The following is a 24,835-nucleotide window of genomic DNA, read 5'->3' as shown; positions in this document are numbered from 1 at the left end:
TTGTTTTCATAGATATTAGTTAGAATTAAAAAAAAAAAAACTTCTAGTCTGCTTGCTGGTAATGGTGAGGTTAATTTTTGCCCCTGGATAGAGTCAAAATTATACTGGGTATGGTGTGAAAATAAAATACACAGAGATGTTATACGTTATGTCAATTATGTACATCAGCCCTTTTCTAGATCCTGTTAGCCTCCTTTCAGAATTCCTCCTCAAAGATTTTCTTTATGCACATAATATTTTTCACACTGTGCTGGAACTGTGCATGACCTTACATAAGTAATCAGCATTTCTTCTTGAGAAAAGTCTGCTTTTAGTGACATAAACAGATTGAGAAGGAAGGAGCAGTTACACTCAGGATCAGTATCGAATAGCAGAAGCGCTGAAAGCCACGCAATGGCATCAACCAAGATAAATTGTCATTGCTTCCGGAACCCTAAATCATCAAATTCATATCTAGTTAATTTTCCCTGACAAATCATGTTTACTGAGTTCTTGATAACGTTTTCGCTCATCGGCAGATGACCTCTAGCATGTGTGTACTGTAAATTTAGTCACATGACTCCTCGCTTTACTCATTTATGTATCTTCAAAATACAGATCAAACAAAATTGAAAATCACTTTACCTTGGCCTGCAAAACTCCAGTGTGGTATGCTTTAATTGCAGACAACATAATCAAAATATTACTTAGCAATTCCTTTTCTGCCTATCAGTGTCTTCCAGTGGACTCTGAGGGAGAGACCCCTGAGAAGGCAGTGATCCCAACATGAAGCATTGATTTAAAAAAAAAAAAAGGATATATGTCCGAATATTGCTGCTATTCTGCCAGAGGAAAAGAACAAATAGTTCCTGCGGAGAATATTCTGGGCCTTTCTTGTTTATCAGAGAAAGCTACATATCATCCTTTAGAAATGTAGCAGTTCAAGTAGAATTTAATGTATTCAAAAATGTGACCCATCTGAGAGAAGAAATTACTTTTGGAAAAGGTTTTAACGTGGCTCGGGACGCTACACCCTCCCTGACAGCCTTTAAGGAGCCTGCCTTCCTGCAGCTGTGGATGAGGCAAGCAAGCTGCTATTTAATAAGCCCCTTTTCAGAGTCTCTTTTCTCTCTGTGTTACTCGCACATCAGGTAGCACCGTCCTTTGGTTTGGTTTCACTGTCTGTCATGGTGGAAATGTGGTGTGGTCACTTACAGATCTCTACGGAGACCTCAAAGATCTGAGGGAGAGTTTCAGAGTTGATTTGATGCAAGCAGTAAGAGCAGAACTGTGGAAATCTAGCATTTTGATCATGATACATTTGAATGAATGGATAAATTCGAATGAATGAATAAAAATGGTGACCTTGGATACGATTAAATAATCCAGACTCTGGGAGATGACCCTATGTTGAGCTAGTTTGTTCTTGTTCTGATGAAAGCACACGGCAAGAGCTCACCTGAGCCAGTGAGGGTGGGGTTCCCCAACCTAGAAGACTAGCTAAGCGTCCTGTCAATCATTTTGGGAAGCTGCCCATCCTGGAGTGGAAGATGAGGTAGAACTTGGGGCGGGGGGAGCAGGGGCCTCCTCACCCCTCGAAGCCATGGGCAGTTGGGCCTGGATCCAGGGGGTGAAAGTGCCTGGAGCAGCTCTGGCTGAGAAAAAGGTAGGGTCTCCCTCATCTGCAGAATGAGTGTTCAGAGGAGGCACTGATCCTCTGCTTTTAATTAGTAGTAGCAGTAGCAGCAGTAGCAATGCAGGACAGGTGGGCAATTCTGGGGCTGGGGAGGGGATGTGCTGGTGAGGGTGAGAGGGGCCAGCCCTGCCACCTTGACTTGAGGAGAGGCCATCCTCTTCCTGAGCCTGTACCAGTGGATGCCAGGCATGCCCATCAGGGTGGCTCTACTGGCAGCAAGGTAAGAATGGCCAGAGAGTGTTCTGGAACCCCAGAAGGCTGTCACGTGGGACAACCTCAGGTTCTTAGACAACCAGTCCAAGGGGCCGTGCAATGTTGTGAGCAAGGTGCATGCAGAAAGGAAGGACAATCTCATTTCACAGACAAAGCCAATCACAGGGCTACCCCAGAGTCACCCAGCTTACCTATTGTAGATTAAAAGTTTCAGGTATTTAAAAACATTCTTCTTTTCACCTATGCAGCTGGGCTTCCCTTCCTTAAAATTATGAATGGTACTACCTCAAATATACTCAACATAACGGTGTTTATAATTTAAAAATTAGAGATGCCATTTACAAAAAAAAGACTTGGAAGTTAGCAGCAGCAGGTAAAGACCTCTGGATGCGTAAGTTAATGTTAATGCTTATGTCATTACTGTGAGGCATTTTAAATTAGCACAAACCCCATGGAATTTGGTTTATTTATGTGGCTAAGCCATAGTGAAATATTGATGATGGGATATATTTTTGGAGATTTGGGTTGTCTGGCCTCCTAAGTCAATTTATGAAAATTCCTGCAAAACTGGGGATCACCTCAGTCTGTCATGGTTTATTGCTTAATTAGCAAGTTGTCAAAAAGCAACACCGTATAAACTGAGTGATGCTTTTTCACCGGTTCACTTACTTTTTATCGGGATAATGAGCTGTGGAAGGACAGGTAGGATCTTGTTCCCACCGTGTTCCAGCATGTCGTGGATTCCTTGCCGAGCAAAAAACTCATAGGGAAATGTCATTTCACAAAGCCCATCAAAAAACAGAGGCAGATAATGATGGTAATCCAGCTTCTCAATTTCTACCTGAAAGTAAAGAAAGAAGAGACGCCATGTGAAAACAGCATTCGGGCAGAGCACGGCAGACAAGCTATGCAGCTGTCACCCACTCCAGAGGGGCACGCTCTTTAGAACTTCAGGAAGACTTCCTTAACCCATCCCCCTAATGACCTGAAGTATGTCATCATGTCCTGAATCAATGAGCAATGAGGTTAAAATCATGGACCTTTAGACCTTAACAGTTAAATCTCCCATCCACATACAATGCACATTGACAGCATATTAATAATTTGCTACCTTTTTGTTAATTCGTTACCATTTGGCTCAAGTATGATATTGAATAGGATTCAAGAAGCCTCTAGAATGTTTGCTGAAAAGATCCACGTAAAAATAAAATGAAAGAAATAAAAACAGCTGAAAAAGATTGGTGCCCAAGGTTCTAAGAAGAAAGCTACAGAAGTGCATGTTCATACGTTCCTGGGAGGCATATGCCTTCTTTGGGGCAAACAGGAGAGTGAGAGGTCAAGCATGATTCCTGGCTTGTTCACTGGAGCCTGGATGACAGGTAGAACATTCAGGGCATCAAGAAGAAATGGAGAGGACAAAGAGTGGGCTGAACCTGGGACCACTGACACCTCAAAGTCAAAACATCCCAACCTCCCTTTGCCTGCTTCTTCTGGGAGCGGAGACAAATCTCTTTCCCACATCTCCACCCATCACCCTCAGTGTCCCTCCATGTCCCCTGTCCAGACCTTGGCAGTAGCATCCAGCAGCACCAGGGAATGGGAACTAAAACTCTGGGGTTGAGAAAAGAGATTGTGAGTTGGGAATCATCTACCTGTAGAAGATTTGGTCTTGCTTGAGCCCTCCACTGTCCAGGGTACCTGTGGCCTGAGCTACTGCCAGCAAGGCGGCAGAGCTGAAGGTGAGAGTGTACATGGAAATGAGCCCACAGACTCAGACTGCAGGTATAATACATCTACACAGAGCAAGGGATGGGGCCTTCCCAGCAAGAGGTGATAATTTCCTTGGTTTTCAAATCCTTATGAATGCACCCAGCTTCTAGTTACCACCTTCTAATCAAGTGAGGAGCCCATCAAGACCTTTGAGAAACTCCCTTTTACATTAGTAGGAGATTAACAAATTTTTTATTGATAAATTACATATATACATATTCCCTATGTAGAGACAAATTATACATATATTTATTCCCTATATATAGTCCATACATTATATATATATTAATATATATTTATGGGATAAAAAGTGATATTCTGATTTTGTAACCGAAAATTGTAATACCACTTAGTGGGAGATTTTTGTACCTTCCAGCTCTCTCTCAGCATTCTGGAGTTTCACGCCACATGCCTGCCTACCCCTGGATGTGAGTAACTCGTAATGAACCCATCATCTTCCTGAGTGTTTACTGTGGGTTGGGGTGAATCAAATTTCCTACAGTTCCCCAAGCAGCAGGCCTGTCTACAGTCTGCTCACAGACTTCCCATTTACAATGCATGTTCAGGTAGAAGCTGGGGATGTAGAGGGAGTCCAGCCAATCAAGGAAGTAAGCAGGGAAGAGGCAATGTCCAGATCCTCTGTTGGAACTGGAGCATAGAAAACAAATCCCTAATGTAGGTTTATACAGACATCAGTTTTACTTTACTTTCCTTTTATATTTATAAAATTTATGTTATTCAGCATACATTTATGGAATATATATTTTCTCAGAGATTTATGTGCATTTGGAAATGTTTTAAAACATTATTTTGTACAATTTGAAATAATTATTTTTTCTTAGGTCCTAAAGGCCCAATGTTTTTATGGATAATTTTACATTGTATACTAATTTCATAATAAAAATGTCATCTATACTATATTTTTAAAACATTTTTGGTATGTTTTGCTAATTCTTTTAGCTTATTGTCACACTTTTACAAGTGTTTCTTGTAAGCACAAAATTAAATTTTGTATTTTACTATGGCCTAAGATGTTGTATTTTAATACATTAAGTCATTGACATTTATGGTCTCATTTAACTTCTGTCATCTTATTTTTTGGTCTTCGGTTGTTGTTTTTTATTTACTTTTTTCTTTGTATTTTGTAGTTTTGTTATGTACACTATGTTCTATTTACTTTTTTGTAATGACTTTAAGCTAAGACATCCTGTTCAAACATTTTATTGCAGCTACCTTAAACATTTCCAAACTTAAATTTATCTTAGTGAGAGATAAATAAAGTTAAAAGTCTTCTACTAAGACTGTTGACATGTCTATTTTTCCTTGGAATTCTATTTTTTCTTTATATGTTTTGGGGCAATAATACTAATATCAACAACAGCAACAATAATAACACCAATGTTTGTGATGCCAGACACTGTTGTGAACACTGTGCTAGTTCATTTGATCCTCAAGCGACTGGAAGAAGTAGGCATTATTAATATCCTAATTTTCAATATGAGGAAATTGAAACAGAGAGAGATTTAATAACTTGCCTAAGGTCTGCAGCTAGTCAGTGCTGGAATTAGGTTTCAAGCCCAAGCAGTCTGGCTATATGACACGGCACTGCCTCTCAGGCTTTGTTGTTTGGCACACTGAGGTTCAGCATTATTATAACCTCCTGGTAAATTGTTGAATTTACCCTTATGTCCTTATCCTCTTTATCATTATTGATGCAGTTTGTCTGATTCTAATATAATATTATTATTGCTATAACTGGTTTATTTATCACATCTTTTCTATCCTGCTGCTTTCTTCCTTCCTCTGACATTAGATTTTAAGTGTCTCTCTGAAGTAACTTACAGATTTGTTTTTCCCACTTTTCTTTTATAATGTGCCTTCAAACAATAAATACTGAGTACCTGCATAATTCCTATTCTCAAAATTTTGAAAAACAAAAGTTATGAGAAAAGAGAAAAAAGACGGAGCAATTGAAAGACAAAAGTCAAATGAAAGATTGAGCGAGTGAGAGAGATTGAGAAAGAGAAAAGAAATTATCTCTACATCTTCATATCCTCCAAGATCACTGACCACAGCAGTTCTTTCCTACAAAAAATTATCTTCTGTTTAGTTCTTTTTTTTTAACTTTTTTTTTTTTTTTTGAGATGGAGTTTTGCTCTTGTTGCCCAGCCTGGAGGGCAGTGGTGCGATCTCGGCTCACTGCAACCTCTGCCTCCCGGGTTCAAGCGATTCTCCTGCCTCAGCCTCCTGAGTAGCTGGGATTACAGGCACGCACCAACACACCCAGTTAATTTTGTTTTTTGTTTGTTTGTTTGTTTTTTGAGACGGAGTCTCGCTCTGTCGCCCAGGCTGGAGTGCAGTGGTGCGAGCTCGGCTCACTGCAAGCTCTGCCTCCCGGGTTCACGCGATTCTCCCACCTCAGCCTCCCGAGTAGCTGGGACCACAGGTGCCTGCCACCACGCCTGGCTAAATTTTTTGTATTTTGTTTAGTAGAGACGGGGTTTCACCGTGTTAGCCAGGAGGGTCTCGATCTCCTGACCTCATGATCCGCTCGCCTTGGCCTCCCAAAGTGCTGGGATTACAGGCGTGAGCCACAGCGCCTGGCCTTAATTTCGTATTTTTTTAAGTAGAGATTTTTTTTTTTATTAGAGATCACCTGGCCTTAGGTGATCCACCCACCTCGGCCTCCCAAAGTGATGGGATTACAGGCATGAGGAACCACGGCCAGCCTTCATTAGTTCTTTTTATGACCTGTTTGTACATTATTTGCAAATATCTGTTGTCATTGCAAATATGTTGCCTTACTATTAGAACAACAGGTAGGGATCAAACACCTCGTCTCACTGCCACCAGAGACACAGATATGGCTTTTGTTCGACTGATTCTGGAACTGTGTAAGGAGCTGCTGGATTCTACGGTGCCCAATAGGCAGCTCTCACCTGACGGACAAAGAGCTGCAGGGCTTGTGGATGGCAGTTCCAAGGTGGATGTACGTAATCCTGCTTAGAAGGCTGCCACTCTGATTGATGAAGAGTCAAGAAAATTCTTTTTCTTTTGAACTGTTTATAGCTTAGAGGTTGGGTAAAGTATAATTTTGTGAACAAAATTTACCCTTCTCTCTACCTGAGTTACCCTAAATTTGGAAACCATTTATGAGTATTTTTATCTGATAGCAATATATTTATTTGCATAAGTTCAGTAAGAATCTGTTTTCTTTTCTAACAGGGCATAATTGGAGAAATTGGTTATTTTACCAAGGCATTGACTGGAATGGCATATTTTCAGAATTGACCAGACTGAGGAATGGAGGTTGACTTTATAAATTCTTTCTAGGAAAGACTGGCCTAGTACCTTGTCTAAATGGTTCTCTTACAAGGTTTCTGACCTATGGTAAGTAAAGAATGTCATTTACTAACAGGCCTGGGAACCTTAAGATATTTTGGGAATTCAAGAAGAGAGGAATTTGTATAGGTATTACAAGCATAGTCTAATGGTGAATCCTTGGCTTGGCTCCTAGCCTTGAGGCTTTTAAAAAGCAGAATCCACAATTTCTCATAAAAGTTCCAGCAAAGACAACTTAAAAAGAGCCTACCAGTCTGGACAACATATTGAGACCCTGTCTCTACAAAAAATAAAAAATGAGCCAGAGTTGTGGCACACACCTGTGGTCCCAGCTATTTGGGAGGCTGAGATGGGAGGATTGCTTGAGCTCAGGAGGTCCAGGCTGTAGTGAGCCAAGATTGCGCAACTGCACTCTAGCCTGGGTGACAGAGTGAGACTCTGTCTGGAAAAAAAATAAATAAGCAGCTCAGGCTGATCACTATTCTTGCCATATTTTATGCAAATAACCAGGCCAAGTATAATGAGACCAAAATTTATTTTGAAAATAAATTGGTCCTATTATGATTTATCCTTGGCAGAAACGGGGAAACTAGAGACCAAAAAATTTGGATACTAGCCCTCACCATTGTTTTTGAGTTTTTATTATTTACCTACAATTTGGGCTAAATCCTGAATTATTTGCTGTCTGCAAGTCTAAAGAGGAACCAGGTTTTAATTTTCTTCATGATACTTTTAGTTGGCTCTTTAATGGAATAGGTACTTTTTTGTTGTTGTTCTGGGATACAAATTCTCTTTTGACTGTAATCCTTGAGTGCAAATTATTAATGTTATATATCTCACGCTGTTTTACTCCTGAGAAAACCGAGGTCATTGTATTCTGAAGACTAGAGGTGCTTCAACAGCCTGTGAACCTCCCTCATTAGGAATCCCACTGGGCCTGATCTATTTTCCATTGCCAAAGCACTGCTGCTAAAGTTTGACAACATCAAGCGCTCTCTCTAAGGCTCAGGGATGGTCATGGAAGAGGAGGGCGTGAGAGACTGTAAGAGCTGCATTAGAGGGGTGGAGCATGGAAGCCAAAGCAACTCCATCCTGGGTGCTAATCTGCCATGTTGGCTTCTGATTAACCTCAGTTCCGGGAATGCCTCTGAGATTTTCAGTTTATCTATTCCTCCTCGTATAAGAGCACCTACTTACCATAAATCCCACCGTGAGGGCAAATTCATGACCACTCCTTCTGAAGTGTGTGTACCCCTCCCTGACAGCACATAAGTCCTGCTTCTGGGGGGTAATGGTTCAGGATCTACCATATCATCTCATCACTGCCAGGGACACAGACATGGCTTCTGTTTATAAGTCCCTGTTAAAAGTTTCTTTTCTAAGCAACTAGATTTGTATGTCTCTTTCTTTAGTCTCTCAGCTTCCTCCAACTTAGGGGTAGGTTGACACAGACCTGCCCACAATGAAACAATGGCTGAATAATGTTCTATTGAATGCACTTAACACATTTCATTTCTCCACTAATTCGCAGATGGACATTTGGGTTGCTTCTGCCATTTGGTTATTGTGAATAATGCTGCTATGAATATTACTGGACAAGTTTTTGTTTGAACACCTGGTTTCAATTCCTTTGAATATATACCTAGGAGTGCAAATGCTGTGTTGTATGGGAAACTGCCAAACTGCTTTCCAGAATAGCTGTACCATTTTATATTCCCACCAGCCATGTATGAGGGCTCCAGTCACTCCACATTCTCGTCAACACTTGTTATTTTCTGTAGTCTTCATTGTGGCCATGCTAATGTGTGTGAAATGGTATTTCCTGTGGTTTAGATTTTCATTTTCCTAACAAGTAGGATGTGGAGCATCTGATACATGACACAACATGAATGAACCTTGAAAACATTTTCCTAAGCGAAGGAGGACAGTCACAAAAGACCACATACTGTACGATTCCATTTCTATGAAACGTTCGGAATAGACAAATCCAAGAGACAGAAAGTGGCTGCTTAAGAGCTGGGGGAAAGGATTCTGGGAAGTGGCTGCTTATTGGGCATGGGGTTTCCATGTGGGGTGATGAAAAAGTTCTGGAACTAGATGGTGGTCATGGTCACACTGTATGAGAGTACTTACTGCCACTGAAGTGTACACTTAAAAATGGTAAAAATGGTAAGTTTTATGTGTATTTTACAATGATAAAAATGCCAAAGAAAAAATAAAACAATAAAAAACAAATAACAACAAAATAATAGAATAACAATTTGCCATTATATTTTGAGACACAAACTTTTTTAACACAGTAGATACAGTTCTACTTCCTACAGGATGATTTTTTGTATGTAAATTCCTTTTACATATCTTCCAGGGTTCCTTTTTATTATAATAATTTTGTTTTCAGTGGATGAATTTGGCCTAGGCTTTGGTAATCCCTCTTATATTACGTTTATCCTCAGGCGCTTGTTTGCGTGTGTGTGCACGTGTGTATATATGTGAGTGCATGTGTGTATATGTGTGCGTGTGTGTGCGTGTGTGTGTGCATGTGTGTGTGCACACCTGGATATGTGTGCATGTGTGTGTCTTAATAATATATCTGACTTCTCTTTAAGTACTTTTTCTGAAAAGCCACTGCTCCATTTCCACACTATCCCCAGTCACGGCTCCATTTCCACACTGTCCCCGGTCCCCGCTCCATTTCCACATTATTCTTCATAGTAAAGTTTTTCAAGAGAATTCTTTATCATCACTGTCCTTGCTTCCTCATTCCCGTTCCCTCTTTAACCCACTCCCTCACCATTTCACTGAAGTTGCTTTTATCAAGGTCACCAGTGACTTTCTTTGTGTCTAATCCTTGAATCTCCTTTCTGTTCTCCTCAGCACAGCACAATTGACCTGGTGAAGTTGTACCCCCAACACTGGCAGGTCACCCTAATTCCCTCCCTCCAATCCCTGGCCTGGCCTGACCTCGCTGGTTCTGAGACAGCCAGGGGGGAGGCGGTCCTTGGAGAAGGTCCACCCTCTCCATCTTTCCTGCCCACTGGGAGGAGCCACACAGGTTCACACCATTTGCCGCAGGGAGTAGCCTGGCCCCTCCTCTTCCTGTGTGGAAACTGGGATGCGAATGGCTGGTGGGAAGCCCCAAAATGGGATGAGGATGGCTGGTGGGAAGCACCCTAGCAGGGACTCTGGCTTAGCGAGAGTCCCTGTTTCCCCTTTTTCTTCCTTTTTCACCCAACAAAACCCTGTCTTACTCATTCAAATTCAAATTGTCTGTGAGCATGAATTTTCGTGGCCATGGGACAAAAAACCCTGTCTTCAGCCGAACTAAGGAAAAGTCCCGCAGCAGTTCCTCCTTAGGGACTCTTCGAACGCACTGTCTTAGCCCAGGCTGCCTTAACAAAATACCATGGACAAGGTGGCTTGAAAAACACACATGTATTTTCCCACAGTTCTGGAGGCTGGAAGTTGGAGATCAGGGTGTCAGCATATTCGAGTTCTGTGGAGGGAGAGATCGCTTCCTGGCTTGTAGACAGTCACCTTCTCAAAATGTCCTCACAGGGCCCTTCCTCTGTGTGCATGCGGAGAGATCGCTGGTCTTTCTCTTCTTATAAAGACAATGGGCCTACTGGGTTAAGGCCCCACCATTATGATCTCACTTCACGTTTATTACCTCCATACAGGCCCCATCTCCAAATACGGTCACGCTGGGATTTGCCCAACATAATGAATTGGAGGGGAGCGGTGGGGCACGATTCAGTCCACTGCACACCGTTCTCCTCTCCAGACCTCTCACTGGCAAGTCCTTTCATCTCAATTTCAGTTCTGTGAGGCCGTCCTACTATTGTCTATCACCCTGTTTGATTTTTTTGTAGCCTCATCATTTATTCATTACAGTTTCTTAAGTTCTTTTTTTTAGGGAGCTTGTCATTGCCTAGAAGAGTGCTGGGCACACAATAGGTAGGTATTCAGTAGGCATGCATTGAATTTTAATTCTGACCTTTTGAATCTGCCCTGTGTTAACTTCCTTGAGAGGGCTGTCCTGCTAAGGAACAATGACCAGATGATGAGTGGCTGTGCCTAGGATAGAGGGAGGGCAGCTGCACCGAGGGTCGGCTGTTTAACACTGACTCTGTAGGTGAAGGAGTATGTAAGTTTCTATAAATTTATGTATTCTACAACTTTATGTATTCTGTAAATAAAATACTATTTTTCTCTTATTAGCATTGCAGTGATTATTTACATTTCAGAAATTTTATGACTATTATAATAGACAAGATAGGCTTCCGGGTGCTTGTGTTTTCCCTCATTTCACTAGAAATCATTTAGGGTTTAATTGGCTATTCTGAGTTTTTTGGTAGTTTTAAAATTGATATCTAATAGTTGTACATTTAAAAAATTCCCTTTACTTTTAAAACTCTGGCAACAGTTCTGTTTTTTACAGTATCATCAAATGCAAACATATTAAAATCTGTCCATATAAATAACAATAAGAGGTCCTTATTTAAAAAAAGATACTGAGAATAATTTAAGATTAAAGCCAAAATTTGAAGAAGAGATAAATGAGGAAATCCCTTATCTATATGTATGTGTGTGTCTGTCACACTGTGACTGCTATTCCTAAGAGTTCTTCTCAATTGCTGGCTCCTTTTGTTAATTTAGATTCACAAATAGTCATTTTTAAGGTTTATGTGACAACAAACCTTATTTCAGTTAAGGTATTTCAGTAAATTTTTCATTCTTAGGATAACTAGTTTATTTAACATAAAATAGTAGTTTTCAAATTTAGGAATCTTTCTTTAAAGTTTAAGAAATCCAGAATTAAAAGAAAATTGCTTTCAGAGGGACACAGAACAAGGAATGTTTTAGACATATCAGTTAAAATTATATGTGAATACCTGGATTACATTGATATTAGCTCCAGAAATGTGAAGCGTTTTTACTCATAAAATATATCTTTAAAATTCATGTTTTATAACTTTTTAAAGATCACATAGTACCTACTATGTGACCTTTAAATCTTACAATGACCTTTGGTCAGCAGCAATAAAATTCTAACTTGACCTAGCCTGTCAAATATTTATCCCCATAACAAATGTGTAAGACAGTGATACTATATTGAAACATCAGAAACACAGTGAGGTTGTATTAGTCCGTTTTCACATTACTATAAAGAAACATCTGAGGCTGGGTAATTTATAAATGAAAGAGGTTTAATTGACTCACATTTCTGCATGGCTGGGGAGGCCTCAGGAAACTTATAATCATGGTGGAAGGCCAAGGAGAATTCACTCACTATCAGAAGAATAGCATGGGGAAAACCACCCCCATGATCCAATCACCTCCCACCAGGTTCCTCCCTCGACATGTGGAGTTTACAATTCGAGATGAGATTTGGGTGGGGGCACAAAGCCAAACCACATCAGAGGTTAATGACTTTCATGAAAAAAACTCAAATCAGAGACTTACTCTTATGCTTTCCATATCCTTGCTTCTATTAGCAATTAAAATTTCATTGAAAATATCTGTTCTTATGACTGCTGTTATAATTACCAAGGATCTTGCTCAGAAACACAAATTAATCTGAAAAAGTATAATTATCTATTAATATATTATGACCTCCTTTAGACTTATTGTGACGTTTCTAAAATAAAGACTTAACAGTGTTTCTCAACCCTTGAGGCAGCTATTGAGTTATTACAAGAGGTCTTACAAATTAGACAGGCATTAATCACTGTCTACAGAAAATATATATAATATATTTTACAAGTAGATGTACTATTATTTTTCAAATACGTGTGATGCAGTTGTGATGAATAACTAAAAATAATTTCTCACCTTATATTTTCCAGTGATACTGAATATACAACTAAAATCATGTAATATAGCACATGAGATTCTTAATGCTAAAATTAAGACTTTTTAACATGAAAAATGCTCTTAAGGGCAGAAATGAAGCAAATTTCAGGCAAGATGGCAGACAAGACTGAAACGGATTCATCCATCAACTGCTACAGACTTAAAAAACAAAATATGCCCAATGCAAAGCTGAGCTCAGGAAATCCTCAGATGCTAGAGATAAAGACAAAATCCAGTTGCAGAAGTGAGTTCCAGGTGATGCCAGGAGACCCCAGGAAGTATCAGATTAGGTCACAAAACTAGGAATAAGGTTTTAATGTCTTCAGAAAAACAGAGCATTTGGTGAGAGAAGGGAACTAATCCGAGACTCCCGCATACAACCAGGACACTTGAAGGGCTGCCTCACCTGTGAAAAAGAAACTGGAAAAATCTCTTCAAATCTGTCTGTGGAAACAGAAAGACAGCCTGGTGTTTGACAAAGCTCTCGGTGGGACAAACCTCCTCTGAGAAATGGAAACCTAGGAAATCAAAAGCCCAGAAATTAAGGGAAAGCATTAGTCTCAGATAATGAAAAGGAAACCCTTGGGGCCCGGGCCAAAGCAAATGTAAAAACATGAACACTTGCATAATCTCGTACATGGGACTCACAGAAAATGCAACCCCTAATATAGATGAGCTCGCAATGAAAAATTATCCACCACTGTGGCAATGCAGTCACCAAAAGGAAGACTCAACAGACCAATGAGCATAGACACGAGCTGTGGAGGTAACAACTGGAAACAGAAGAATAAAATCTCAAGATAAATAATTTAAAAATACTTAACATGGAAAAATATTTCACTTAAAAAATATAACTTTTAGAAAAAATATAGTATCATTAACTTAAAAATTCAGTAGCTAGGTTGAACAATAAATTCACCACAAATGAAAAGAGAATTAGAGATCTGGATCACGGAGCTGGAAGATGAATGCAGAGGCAGCACAGGGAGGTAAAGCAATGGAAAAGATCGCAGGGAGTCCCAAGACCCGGGATGCTCCCTCGAGTCACTCACAGGAGCTCCAGAGGAAAGGACAGATCATGGGGAAAGGCAATATTTGAAGCAACAATGACTGGGAATTTTTCATAATTAAGAAAGATGTAAATATTCAGAGGGAAAATGCAGATCTAGACACTTTTCAGAAACACTATGAAACTCCAAAGTCAAGGAAAAGATTAAAAGCAACTAGAAACAAAAGACAGTTTACAATAAAAGATCCAAATTAGATGGAAATTACATGTCTCATTAATAAAATAGAGGTCAGAGAAAAGGGTAAAAAATGTTCAACATGCTCAAAGAACAAAAGTTATTCATCTACAATACAACTTAGTAAAATTATCATTCAAAAATAAAGACAAATCAAATGTATTTGACTAAGACTGAAGGGTATTTTTTTAACCCCTGGATCATCAACTTTACCAAAGGATAAAATTTATTAAAAAGTGAGTTGAACACAGGACAAAGAGATGAGATGAAAGAGCTAATAGTAGATAAATTGTTGAATGAATTAAGACTAAATAAGCAGTGACTATTATGAGTTTTTTAAATCATCAATATGGCGGGTTTATAAAGCGGGGCTAAGATACTAGAAAGGAATAGCAAGGAAGATGAGAGGAAGGTAATCTGGGTCAAAGGTAATATCTCTGCCTTGAAAGAGATGAGGATAAAGTTATTGATACCCTTTAGACTTATCAAATAATTAAGCATATTAAAGTTTAAGAATACCTATTCTGAAAAATAAAATGAACTTTCAAGAGAATAGAGAAGAGGGAATGAAAAAAACAGTACCAGCTTTATCTTGAAGGCTGGGTAAATATCCTCCTGGTCCCAGGAAAAAATATGGAGAGAAAAACTTACGTAGAATGGATCCAAATATGTAAGCAATAATAAAAAGTGTTTGTGAATTAAATTCTCTTATTAAAAGAGATTATCATAAAAGGGAAAATGTCCTTCAGTTCTGAATTAGTTTATAAAGTGAACACTCAAAATATAATGACAATGAAAGGTGGAAAATAAAGGTGAAGTTTTAAAAAAAAAGTATCTTGTAGGATAAATTCCTGGAAGAGGAACTGTTTTATCAATGGGTATACATATTGGTCATTTTGATACATATTGCCAAGTCGTGCTTCACAGAGATGGTACCAAATTACATTTCTATAAAAAATAAATGACTACCTGTTTTTCTAATGTCTGTCCAAAGAGAATGCTATCAGAGTTTGATTTTTAACAATATTATAGTTAAAAATGGTATTTCAGGGTTGTTTTATTTCTCTTACTATGAGAATAATTACCTTTTAAAGCTATTTTTGAAGGTCATTTGTATATCCTTTTCTGAGAATTGTATTTTCTTATCTTTTGCCATTTTTTCTCTACTGAGGCATTGGCCTATTTCAAGAGATCTTTTATATTAGAGAAATTAGTCTTGAGTGTGATAGGAGTTTCAATTTTTTCTTTTGCCATGACAATTTAAAAATGTTTTTGAATTCGTTAATGTTTTATAGATGCTGATTTTTGAGTCTCATTGGGAATATTTCCCCCATTGTGTAGCATAAAGAATAGAAACAGTCAGAAAAGAGCATTAATAATGGTTTATTCTCATACTTTTATGATTTATTTTCTTTACATTTAAATCACTAGTCTATTTGTAACTTTTCCTGGTATAAAATGTAAGGTAAGTTTCCAACTGTGGATTGTTTTTAGGTCATATCCAGTTGTCCTATTGTATTTATTGACTAGTTCTCCAGTGATTGGAGATTTAACCTTATTATAAATTTCTATTTCTTGACTTTCTATTCTGTTTCACTGGCCTGTCTTCCTTATTTGTGAACAGTATCATTTTGATCTGATTATCACGACTGTTTAAATGATTTTAATATTTGGTAGGCTGGTCCCTTTACATTACTTTCCTAGGTTTATTATTATTATTACCATAATTTGCTTACTTTTTCATATAAAGTTTACACATAAATTTTACATGTAAGTTTGACTCAATGGACCTACATAGAACCTTGCATTCAACAGTTAGATAAAACACATTCTTTACAAGCATATAAGGACTATTTTGGAAAGCTGAATAAGCACTAAGCCAGAAAGCAAGCCTTCAGAAATTCCAAAGTATCTATGTCTATGTCATACATGTCACATTTTCTGCAGAAAGTTAAATAAAATAACAAATCATTAACTAAAAGATAGCCAAACTTTTAACACCCCCATATATTTGGAAATTTAAGAACACTTTAAAATCACCCAGCGATCAAGAGAAAACCATTATAGAAAGAACAACACATTAGGAATTGAATCCTAATGAAATTACTTAACCTCCAAATAGTAGAAAATTTCCCCTTTGTACTGACTCTTTTTAAGAATCGAAAAGAGGAAAAGCTACACAGCTGACTGTCTGAGGCCAACATAACCTTAATACGAAAACCACAGAGTTCAATCTCACCGAGGCCGACATAACCTTAACACTGAAACCATAGAGTTCAATCTCACTGAAATCCAAACAAATAGGCACATTGAATGATGGCCAAATAGGCCATATCACAGAAATGCCAGAATTTTTCAACATCATGTTTACATTTTTAGATTAAAGGAAGACAAATAAGATAATTTTAATAGATGCAGATAAAACTTTTGATAAAATTTCTTCACTAAAAAATAAAAACGCTTAGCAGAAACCTATAGCAGATCCCATACTTCATGGTGAACTTTAGGATTATTCCCATTTTGGTTAGAAAGGAGATAAGAAGAAAGTTATTATTTTTATTCAACCCTACGCTGGAGGTTCTAGCTAATGTGGTAACACAAGAAAAGTACATGCAAAGATTGGAAGGGAAAAAAAAGAACTGTTTATATTTGAGGATGATATGGCTGTCTACACAGCACACCCTGAGAGTCTATAGACATGCTCAATTAAAAGCTCTGTAAAAACATTGTTGCATAAAAAAATCAATGCACTAAAAATAATAGCATTTCCATACACGATTAAAAACAACTTTGAAAATATTTTTTAAAAGTTCACAATAGCAAGAGATGAAGTAAAACAAACACTTTAAGATAATAAAATTAACAATCACTATGTAAGACCTTATGGAGACAATTACAAAAGATGATTGACAAATATAAACGGAAGACAGAAATAATTTTTTATGAATAAATGCATATATTGATTTTGCTTATGGTTGGGTAGACTAAAACTTAGATGGGTGATGATTCTGCCCAAATTAATCATCATGTCTATGGCTGGCTGTTTTACTACAAATGCTGATGGCTCTGTCTAGCTGGAAGATATTAATTACTGAGTAACAAATCTGGATTTGAGAATGGAGAATCAAATTATTTTATGGAATAACCTTATTTTAAGTTTCTGTCAAAAAGGCTAAAAGACAGCTAAAGGTCAGTTGTAAGCAGATCTCAAATTTATGCACACTTAACCTTTATTATCCAGGAATTGTATGTTCCCGACGGTAACAGTCAAAGAATGATACTTTCAAGTGTAATAAATAAGAAAGAAATAATCCCTTGTTTCATAGCTTCTAACATTCCCACTCAACCTCTTGTCATATAGTTAAAGGAATTTCCTAAAACTTTAAAAACTGCATTTATTTTAACCATAGGGAGATAAAAAGGAGTAAAATACATATTGAAATACATTGTCAAAGCTTCTCTTTCCTTGATCACATATCTGTATAATGCTAAAAATAGTATACTTTGGTCAGAGGTAGAGGGAGAATAACTGTACTTCAGGATAACAGGTGTTCATAAATAACGAATCAAGAAATATATGATAGGCCTGAAAAGTCTTGGCAGAGTTTTAGAAATTGAGACTGTTAGAAACAGATTATTTGTGGCTTTCACCACTGGTATTAATTGTAAAACATGGCCCTATTTTACAAAAACTCTCCTTGAATAAGATAATGTACTGCGAATTTTAATACACTCGACCAAATAAGTAGAATTAAATAGGTCAGGAAAGGATTATTTCAGGTGAAGTTAATGCCAGGAGGCAATTTTAAGAAGAAATTGTTATGATAGTGGCACTGTTGTCTCTTACATCAGCATACAATTTTGCTATGCATATATTTTTCAGAGATTTGTTCCAATTTGTTAAAGCTCTTTATACTGAGGATGCTTTATATTTCTTAATCAAATTTTGCTAAAGCAAAAAATATATATACTGAATAGCTACAATAGTTATAGCATTGTGCTAAATGTTAGGGAGAGATGGGGCCAGTTAGTGGGTAGGAAAAAAAAAGGAAAGTGTGTTAGAGAAATATAACTTATTTCCTTGGATTCATATTTTAGTATGATCAGCTTGTCGAAAGAATGAATCAATGACACTCTGTCTTCGTGGAGAGCAGCCTGGGTGTGGAATCAGGCACCCCCGGGTTCAAAGCCATCACTGGTATGTAGTGAAATCCACCAGTTTTCAAATGCTGTGACTGGTGGAAATGTAACGGAGCTCCTCTGGGCATTATTAGTTCATCATTTGCAAAATGATACCTAATTCCTGGGGTTATTATAAGGATGAAATGATACCATTTAGCATGTGCTAAATGATATTAATTCCCTTTCTATTCTCTGAAGAGGACAATCATACAATCACAAAAAGTTAAGTAAGATTTCAAGTGATTAAGTACCAAATGAAGGGTACATACCAAGGCTACGTGGAAAAAAGCTCTGGTTAAGAGAAAGGAGAGATCATTATGGGCTGGAGTCAGGAAAATGTTTCATTGGGATGGGGGGACTTTGATGAGCCCTGTGAGATGAGGAGGGGTGAGTGTTCTGGGCAGAGGATACCCCCTGAGTGATGGCACAGAGGGGAGCACAGCATAGTCAAGATACAGTGGCTCGTTGTTAGGGTTAAGGTGGCCTGAGTTGGAATGAACTGGCAGGTGATATCAGGGAGCCAGGAGGGAGCCCTCTCTGCAGGCTGAGTCTGGACTGGACACTTTAGGCATCAAGGGAAATAGAGATGATTGAATAACAATTTGGTAAGTATAGTCTGAAGTGCAGGCTGACCTGGGAAGATCAACGTATAGGAGTGAACATCTTGGGGTAGAATCATCAGTTTGGGCCGGGCACGGTGCCTCACACCTGTAATCCCAGCAGTTTGGGAGGCTGAGGCGGGTGGATCATGAGGTCAAGAGATCGAGACCATACTGGCCAACATGGTGAAACCCCGTCTCTACTAAAAATACAAAAAGGCGTGGTAGCGCACGCCTGTAGTCCCAGCTACTCGGGAGGCTGAGGCAGGAGAATCGCTTGAACCTGGGAGGCGGAGGTTGCAGTGACCAGAGATCATGCCACTGTACTCCAGCCTGGGGGACAGAGCGAGACTCCATCTCAAAAAAAAAAAAAAAAAAAGCTGGGCGCAGTAGCTCACACCTGTAATCCCAGCACTTTGGGAGGCCAAGGTGGGTGGATCAAGAGGTCAGGAGATCAAGACCATCCTGGCTAACATGGTGAAACCCATCTCTACTAAAAATATAAAAAATTAGCCGGGCGTGTTGACGGGCGCCTGTAATCCCAGCTACTTGGGAGCCTGAGGCAGAAGAATGGGAGGATGAGGCAGGTAACTCAAATAATAGAAATAACAGAGGGTTTCTTTGCAGTTGTTCATGGCTTACATTCATTGATTCCCTCCTGTTACCCAGGCACTGTTCCTAGCTTTCTCTATTCCTGTGAGGTGGGTGTGGTTGTTGCCCTATCTACAGGTGAGAAGGCAGAAGCCCAGAGGGGCTGGGTGGCTCCCTCGTGCCCCTCTGCTGGCCACAGAGGAGGGAAGACCTGAGCCAGTGCCCTTGCCACCCTCCAGGTACCTCCCCCTTCCTGAGAACCCACAACACACCTTGGCACCTTCCCTACACACACCAAAAGATGGGCAACAGAGTTGCTGGCATCTCCCCAAAACCTTCGCAACGGCTGCTCCCTCCACGCCTACCTCCTTGAGATACTCCAGGCACCAAAATTACCTCTCCTTTCTTTTCACTTTACCCAGTTAAACAGCTGAATGCTTTCATTCATTGGAGAGGAGCAACCAGATTATCTAATTATAGTTATACTGCAAGATACAAACAGCTTGTAAGCTGAAACGTTCCAAAAGGTATTTTGTTTCTAAAAAGAAATGAAATAAAAACCTTAATGGATAAATCCATGATGACATTTTTAACAACAGGGTCTTCCCAGGGCTCCTCACCTGCTCATGACACCTCTCCCGCTCTCCCCATGTTGCTCTCCAGGCGAACTCACAAAGAGTGGGACTCACCGACCTGAGGGTTTGCCAGCACACTCGTAGCCCGCGGGACTAGAGTATTTGTGAGAGAGGAGTGTGGTCTTTGTAAGTGACGATGATAAGTCTCTCTTCATAAGCTAGTTCAAGTTCCTTTGTAAATACTTCCATCACATTTTTTTAAGAATTTTTATATTGACACTAAACAACTAGCATCACAACTTGTGTTTCATAATTTATGGACCTGATTGCATATACTCTATCAGGTTTTTGTAGTTTTAATAATTGTCAGCCAGGTGCTATGATTCATGTCTGTAATTCCAACAATTTGGAAGGCCAAGGCAGGAGGATTGCTTGAGCCCAGGAATTAGAGACCAGCCTGGGAAACAGGGAGAACCCTTCTCTACAAAAAAATTTAAAAATCAGACGGGCCTGGTGATATGCACCTGTGGTCCCAGCTACTCAGGAGGCTGAGGTGGGAGGATCGCATGAACCCAGGAGCCAAGGCTTCAGTGAACCGTGATCGTGCCACTGCACTCCAGCCTGGGTGACAGAGTGAGACCCTGTCTCAAAAAAAAAAAAAAAAGTCATCTGTTTCCCATATTATAGGCAAGCTGAACATCCAACCCTTATTTTTTCTTAGTGCAAAGCTCATGAACACCCTGTTATCTTGCGTGATTCTCTGAGCTCCCTGACTCCCAGGTCTTCCTCTTCCTGTTCTCTAACTGAGGACAGCCCTCAAAGTTTCCCTCAAGGACCTCCTTGCTTTACCCGCTCATGCTACCTATGGTCTTTATCCAAATGACTCTGCAATGTGCCTCGCCACTTCTGACTCTTCCAAAACCCAGAACGTGTATCTGAAATCTTTGGGCACATCCACTTAGAGGCCTCATAAACTGCATCTCAAACAGAACTTACGGCCTATAATCCTGGCCTCCGCACAAGCTCTCTGATTCCGACAATGTCCATGTCGTTCTACTGTCCCAAATGCTGGAAACCTATAGCCAAAACACATATTCCCTCGTGTTATTCTCCATGTTCAGTTCATCAGCCAGTTCTGGAAAGTATTCTTCCATTATTTCTTCACATATAATTCCTTCTCCTGTCATTTTCAGCCTGCCTTGTAGGTCAATACCACCATTCAGACCCCTGTGGCTTCATACTTGAACTTCTGCTATAGTCTCGAACTGATGATTTTTTTTTTTTAGACGGAGTCTTGCTCTGTCACCCAGGCTGGAGTGCAGTGGTGCGATCTCGGCTCACTGCAAGCTCCGCCTCCTGGGTTCAAGCAGTTCTCCTGCCTCAGCCCCCCAAGTAGTTGACTACAGGCTCACCACCATGCCCACCTAGTTTTTGTATTTTTGGTAGAGATGGGGTTTTGTCATGTTGGCCAGGTTGGTCTCAAACTCCTGACCTCAAAATGATCTGCCCTCACTAGCATCCCAAAATGCTGGGTTTACAGGCGTGAGCCACTGTGTCTGGCTCACTGTATTCTTTAAATTTTACTTTGTATAGAAAAAAATTCTTTTTGTATGCCAACATTTTCTTTCTTAAACTCTCTTGGTGCTCCTGTCACTTTGTTTACAGTGATTGAAGAACAGAAGTCATTCGTGAAGGACACAGCACACACAGCCCAGAGAGCTCGCAGGTTAAAACTGCACATGGAGCAATGTCTGCCAGCCATTCAGGGTACTTCAAAATAGGTCAGAATACGTTTCCAGAAAGTGACACCTTCTTTTTGGGTTTGCGTATAATAATAAATCTAGGGGATAAGAACATAAAAGACTGGAAACTTCTTTTGTATTACAATAATGTACTTCTAAATGCATTTTGGGTACAGACAATTCCATGTTTATGCAATGACTGTAGATACATATATAAGCTGATTAAATAACAGGATGTAAAATTTATTGATAATCACATTTATCAACTAAACCTTGACAAGTTTTTAATGAAAAATTATTATCTGTGTAGTAGAATCTCTGCTTTCATAGTTTACCCGTAGGCCACTCATCTAAGTGTGCCTTTTTTTCTCTCTCTCTTTTTTTTTTTTTTACAGCAAACACAGTATTCACAATCAAGTTATTTAGACCTTTTAGATTGTATACAAATGACATAGAAAAATGTACAGCCAGTCCACTGGGTTGTAATTTTAGAAACAAACATCTCAAGTCATAATAATAAAGTAGAGTTTTAAAAAGTTACTAGGTTTTCTTTATTTGCCATAAGAAAGACTGAACTTCTTAGTATGTAGTTTGAAGAGTATTTTCTTTAACTCATTGAAGCCTACAGAGAAAATTCAAATCCACAGAGAATAAGAGGGTCATTCTCCAGATTCTCATTAGACAATTTGTGGAAATGGTGTCTCTCTTCTCACAGTGAACCCTGACTCCTCCATGACTGCTGGAGAAGACCAAGCATCGCTATTTAGGATGCTCTTTTTTCTGCTCTTTCCAGCTCTAAATTTCTAGCATCACCAATTCCCCTTGCTCCTGGCTCTCTGGACTTTGTGCCCTGCTGCCCTTTGTTGTGATCTTCCATGGCCACTTACATAGAGACTGCTATGCCACCACGTTCCAGCTGCAATATGTGTGGCCAGGCGCATGGCTCAAGCCTGTAATCCCAGCACTTTGGGAAGCTGAGGTGGGCAGATCACCTGAGGTCAGGAGTTTGAGACCAGCCTGACCAACATGGAGAAACCCCGTCTCTACTAAAAATACAAAATTAGCCAGGCGTGGTGGTGCATGCCTGTTATTCCAGCTACTCAGGAGGCTGAGGCAGGAGAATCGCTTGAACCCGGGAGGCGGAAGTTGCAGTGAGCTGAGATCATGCCATTGCACTCCAGCCTGGGCAACAAAAGCAAAACTCCAACTCAAACAAAACAAAACAAAACAAAACAGAATATGTTTGCATGTCTGTGAAGACAGGGCAGTGCTTGATTTGCTACTTAAAATCCCCTGCCTCCTATGAGTCTTAATCAAGCTGCTGAATATGTGGATTATTCTGTCTTCGTTTGGGAGTTAATAAAATACTCGAGTATATGGTTGCTGAATACCCATTTCATTGCACAATGAACATGGTCAATGCATTAGTCCATTCTTACACTGCTATAAAATACTACTTGAGACTGGGTAATTTACGAAGGAAAGAGATTTAACTGACTCACAGTTCCACATGACTGGGGAGGACTCAGGAAACTAGCAATCATGGCAGAAGGCTAAGGGGAAGCAAGGCGTGTCTTACATGGTGGCTGGAGAGAGACAGCGCAGAGGAAACTGCACTTGTAAACCATCAAATCTCATGAGAACTCCCTCATTATCATGAGAACAGCATGGGAGAAACTGGTCCCATGATCCAATCACCTCCCACCAGGTCCCTCCCTTGATGTATGGGGATTATTTTTTATTTTTATTTTTTTTTGAGACAGAGTCTTGCTCTGTCACCCAGGCTGGAGTGCAGTGGCACGATCTCGGTTCACTGCAAGCTCCGCCTCCCAGGTTCACGCCATTCTCCTGCCTCACCCTCCCAAGTAGCTGGGACTACAGGCGCCCGCCACCACGCCCAGCTAATTTTTTGTATTTTTAGTAGAGACGGGGTTTCACCATGTTAGCTGGGATGGTCTCAATCTCCTGACCTCGTGATCCGCCCGCCTTGGCCTCTCAAAGTGCTGGGATTACAGGCATGAGCCACTGCACCCGGCTGATGTATGGGGATTATAATTTGAGATAAGATTTGGGTGAGGACACAGAGCCGAACCATATTATTCTGCCCCGGCCCCTCCCAAATCTCATGTCCTTTTCACATTTCAAAACTAATCATGCCTTATCAACAGTCCCCTAAAGTCTTAACTAAATTCCAGCATTAACTCAAAAGTCCAAGTCCAAAGTCTCATCTGAAAAAAGGCAAGTACCTTCCACCTATGAGCCTGTAAGATAAAAAACAACTTAGTTACTTTCAAGATACAATGGGGGTACAGGCATTGGGTAAATGTTCCCATTCCAAATAGGAGAAATTAGCCAAAACAAAGGAGCCACAGGCCCCATGAAAGTCTGAAAACTGGCTGGGCAGTCATTAGATTTTAAAGCTCCAAAATCTCCTTTGACTCCATATTTTACATCCAGGGCATGCTGATGAAAGAGGTGGGCTCCCATGGCCTTAGGCAGCTCCACCCCTGTGACTCTGCAGGGTACACTTCCTGCATCTGCTTTCACGGGCTGGCCTTGAATGGCTGTGGCTTTTCCAGGCACATGGCACAAGCTGTCAGTTGATCTATTTTTCTGGTGCCTGGAGAACAGTTGCCCTTTCCTGACAACTCCACTAGGCAGTGCCCCAGTGGGGACTCTGTATGGGGGCTCCAATGCCACATTTCCCTTCTGCACTGCCTTAGCAGAAATTCTCCATGAGGGCTCTGCCCTTGCAGCAGACATCTGCCTGGATATCCAGATGTTTCCATACAGCCTCTGAAATCTAGGCAGAGGCTCCCAAACCTCAACTCTTGTCTTCTGTGCACCTGCGGGCCCAAAACCTTGTGGAAACTGCCAATGCTTGGGGCTCACACACTTTGAGGCAATGGCCTGATCTGTACCTTGTCACCTTTTAGCCACAGCCGGAGCTGAAGTAGCTGGGATGCAGGATGCCATATCCTGGGGCCGCTCAGAGCAGTGGGGCCCTAGGCCCAGCCCACGAAACTATTTTCCCTCCTAGACCTCAAGG

General features: G+C 40.1%; 1 protein-coding gene and 1 long non-coding RNA gene across 23 annotated transcripts in view; one reads left to right on the top strand and one right to left on the bottom strand.

Moving 5' to 3' along the window:
* PACRG (parkin coregulated) overlaps positions 1-24,835 on the bottom strand; it is a 588,369-nt gene that overhangs the window by 250,622 nt on the left and 312,912 nt on the right. For all 21 annotated transcript variants that reach the window (NM_152410.3, NM_001080378.2, XM_017010277.3 and 18 more), the window contains one exon: positions 2,558-2,729. In NM_152410.3, coding sequence (NP_689623.2) covers positions 2,558-2,729 — 172 coding nt within the window. The remainder of the gene's footprint in view (positions 1-2,557; positions 2,730-24,835) is intronic.
* Positions 10,718-21,899, top strand: PACRG-AS2 (PACRG antisense RNA 2). Of its 2 annotated transcripts, NR_110871.1 has the most exons (4): positions 10,718-10,954; positions 12,847-13,619; positions 18,196-18,295; positions 21,710-21,899. It is a non-coding gene; the product is annotated as a PACRG antisense RNA 2 (long non-coding RNA). The 2 variants fall into 2 exon arrangements; NR_110872.1 differs by lacking the exons at positions 18,196-18,295; positions 21,710-21,899 and having other exon boundaries at positions 12,847-14,124.

The sequence above is a fragment of the Homo sapiens genome, chromosome 6 (genome assembly GCF_000001405.40).
Source record: "Homo sapiens chromosome 6, GRCh38.p14 Primary Assembly".
In the NCBI taxonomy this organism is placed as follows: Eukaryota; Metazoa; Chordata; class Mammalia; order Primates; family Hominidae; genus Homo; species Homo sapiens.
Note: the sequence above shows the minus strand (reverse complement) of the source record. Positions and strands in the feature narration are given on the sequence as shown.